Raw genomic sequence first — 3273 nt, 5'->3', positions numbered from 1 at the left:
GATCAGAGATACTTGCATATAACAACTTTCATGCAACCATATTCATACAGTATTTTTTTAAAATAGCAAAAACTTGGAATTGACAAAATTTCATTGGTAAAATGATTTAATAAATGAAAAAATGACTTAACATGGACTACTATGAAACCTTTAGAAATCATGTTGTGAAGAACATTTATTTACCTGCAAAACTATTCATGATGTATTTGTAAAGGCAAAAAGCTGAAACGTTATATATAGTGCATGAAGTTTGGCCTCATTATGTGTGTGTTATGTGTAACTGTATAGAAAAAAGACTGGAAGGAAATATTTAAAGAATGATAACTGCTTAATTCTGGGAAGTGAAACTTTGCATGATTTAAATGATCCTGTCTTTTTGCTTTTTGTGTATTTTCAAACATTCCTATGCTGGTAGTTGCTTTTATACCCAGAAAGGCATGACCTAATAAATGTTTATTAAACAGAAAGGCAACTGAAAAGGTGTATGTGGAAAGTGAAAGGGAAGGTTTTGCCTTAGTCATTGGGAGAAGCAGGCAAAGCAGGCAGAATGTAAGTCTTTGTTTTCCTGAGTCAGTGGGGAAAATCCACCCTGCGTCTCCTGGATCTCCACCCAGCAGGCAGTAGAGTCCAGTCTCTGAATGGGGATCTGAGTCAACAGCTCCACAATGTGAACCTCTGGTTGGACCTAAAAGGGTACCCAATAGTTCAACCTGAAGGAGCTAATCTCTGGAAGTAACCAATCTGTTGTGTGATTCCTGCTGGGACAACTGAGCGGCAGGCTTAACCCTCAACCCCCCGCAGTGCAACGTTTCCATCAGCTTCCCCACTCACTTCTGAAGAGTTCCCAGGATTATCATCAGCTCGGTGGGGAATAATGCAATGAGAGAAATGGGCCCTGGGTTTTGCAGCTCCATGAACAAATGCGGACACAATCACTTGTCCTCAACATCATAAGATCATATAACAATGCTTGGTAAATTGCTTTGAGATCCACAGGAAACTGTGGCATTTCATTACCAGTCTTTAATCGACATTTCTATTCACTCATGTAAGAACCATTGAAAACTATTGGTCTTGAACTTTATATAGTCACCAGCAAGCAGGTCTGGGGAAGTTTCGATGCCAAGATCACAGCAAACTAACAGGATAGGCAACCATAATAGCATTAGGCAAATAAAATCAGTGGAGAACAATGTTAATATTAAGATAAAGGAAATTTATTGAGGTCAGAAATTTCCTGAGAAATAATGATCTATGAGAAGAAACTGAAATGAGTAGGAATATCCCCTACTGCTCTGTTATCATTTCACTACCTCCTTCTATTAGAACACACATTTGAGAGCTGACTTTTATCATCACGTAGACTAATTTCCCAGTTTGAAGGTTTTCAACCATAATACTCCATATAGCAGTGTGAAGATTTTAGCTTTTTAGCAATAATTATTAAGAGGAAATCTTTCAACACTTTTTTTCTATGTTCCACTTACATTTATGCAGGTGTAGTTTGTACTATGGATTGCAGTGGCTCTGCCCTGCACAAAGTCCCAGCATGCCTCTACTATGAAGGAATGGTGGTACACTCTGGAAAGTTTCTACTGGTTTTATATGTAGCTGTTGATTATTGAGTTTTTTTTCACAAGTGTTTGTGTACCTTGTTTGCCAATTAATATTATAGCTCTAGAACTAGTTTTGTACTGATCCACCCATATATCTACCTTTTTTATGCCTTGTGTCAGAAATAAGTTGAGATGCCTTACAAAATATAAAATAAAATTATAAAGTAACAGTTACAGAAAATGAGATAAAGACAAAATAGTAAGAAAGAAGAAATAAAGCTAAGAATGAGTTTAGCAGGTCTTCTACCTATTCTAGAAGTAGGCCATAAACTCTAGTGGCTAATGCATAGAGAGAGAGAGAGTCAGAGACATCAAATCTTGGTCCCTTAAAGCCTTTGGCTTCCCCAGAAATAGTAAGGGGCAGGTACAGCAGGTGAGAGCAGGCCAGCTGTAATGTTTCAATATTCTTCACCAACCTGTTCAGCCAGAAGAGTTTGTTTTATATGGTGTGAGATTCCGCATAAGATTTAAGGTTTAAAAAGCATCCTTCACTAAAAGACATATTTGAAATCCAGAGAATTCACAGTGGTTCTAAGAGTCAAGCCAGCTTGCCTGCAGGTAAACATACCCATTATTTGTACTATGAATGGAGGGCAGTATCCTTAACAACACCTTTGAAGAGAATTGTGGCAGATAATATATGCTCCTAGCTGAAGGTTTAAGTATATTCTCCATCAATTTATTTATTCAACACAAATTTATCAAACACTCACCATGTGAATTGCTTATAGCATGGAGATAAGAGGTAGGTGGTATACGACTGAATAAAAAGTATGTTTTTGATTTTGAGAAATATTCTCTGAGATCAGTCATATGTGAATAATTAAACAACAATACAGACAGTAAGAGTAGAACCATCAAGATCAGACAACGAAAGTTTTGTAATCAGAGGAAAGAGAGTGAATTTTGCCACAGTTATCATAAAGTCTTCTTGGAATGAGACAAACCCGAGTTAACCTTTAAAGAATGTCCAGGGTTCAGATATATGGAGAAACGTGGGGAAAGCACACAGGTATATTGGTGTGCTGAACACACAGATCACCAGAGAGGAAATAAAATAGGAGCTTTTAAGAAAAGATGCTGCTGGGTGTGGTGGCTCAGGCCTGTAATCTCAGCACTTCTGGAAGCCAGGGCAGGAGGATGGCTTAAACCCAGGAGTTTCAGATAAGCCTAGGCAGCATAATAAGACCTGTCTCAAAAAAAAATGTAAATTAGTTGGGCATTGTGATGCATACTTGTAGTCCCAGCTACTCTAGAGGTTGAGGCAGGAGGTTTGCTTGAGCATAGGAGTCTGAGACTGCAGTGAACCATGATCATGCCACTGCACTCCAGCCTGGATGACAGAGCAAGACTCTGTCTCAAAAAAACAAACAAAAAAAGAAAAAGTGCTAAGCATGTGTATTAGTTTATTTCACACTGCTGATGAAGACATACACGAAACTGGGCAATTTACAAAAAAAGAGGTTTAACTGGACTTACAGTTCCACACTGCTGGGGAAGCCTCACAATCATGGTGGAAGGCAAGGAGGAGAACGTCAGGTCTTACATGGATGGCAGCAGGCAAAGTGAGAGAGAGCTTGTGCAGGGGAACTCCTCTTTTTAAAACCATCAGATCTTGTGAGACTTATTCACTATCATGAGAACAGCACGGGAAGGA

The 3273-nt window shown here is 38.6% G+C and overlaps 1 annotated feature.

Moving 5' to 3' along the window:
• Positions 491-992: an enhancer, noted in NCBI's record as "NANOG hESC enhancer chr18:54019108-54019609 (GRCh37/hg19 assembly coordinates)". NCBI's record gives its function as "activates a minimal SCP1, AML or CMV promoter by ChIP-STARR-seq in naive H9 embryonic stem cells {active_cell/tissue: H9 hESC(naive)}" and the evidence as "EXISTENCE:reporter gene assay evidence [ECO:0000049][PMID:30033119]".

The sequence above is a fragment of the Homo sapiens genome, chromosome 18 (assembly GCF_000001405.40).
Source record: "Homo sapiens chromosome 18, GRCh38.p14 Primary Assembly".
Taxonomy (NCBI): domain Eukaryota; kingdom Metazoa; phylum Chordata; class Mammalia; order Primates; family Hominidae; genus Homo; species Homo sapiens.
This window is presented reverse-complemented; position numbering and strand designations above follow the sequence as displayed.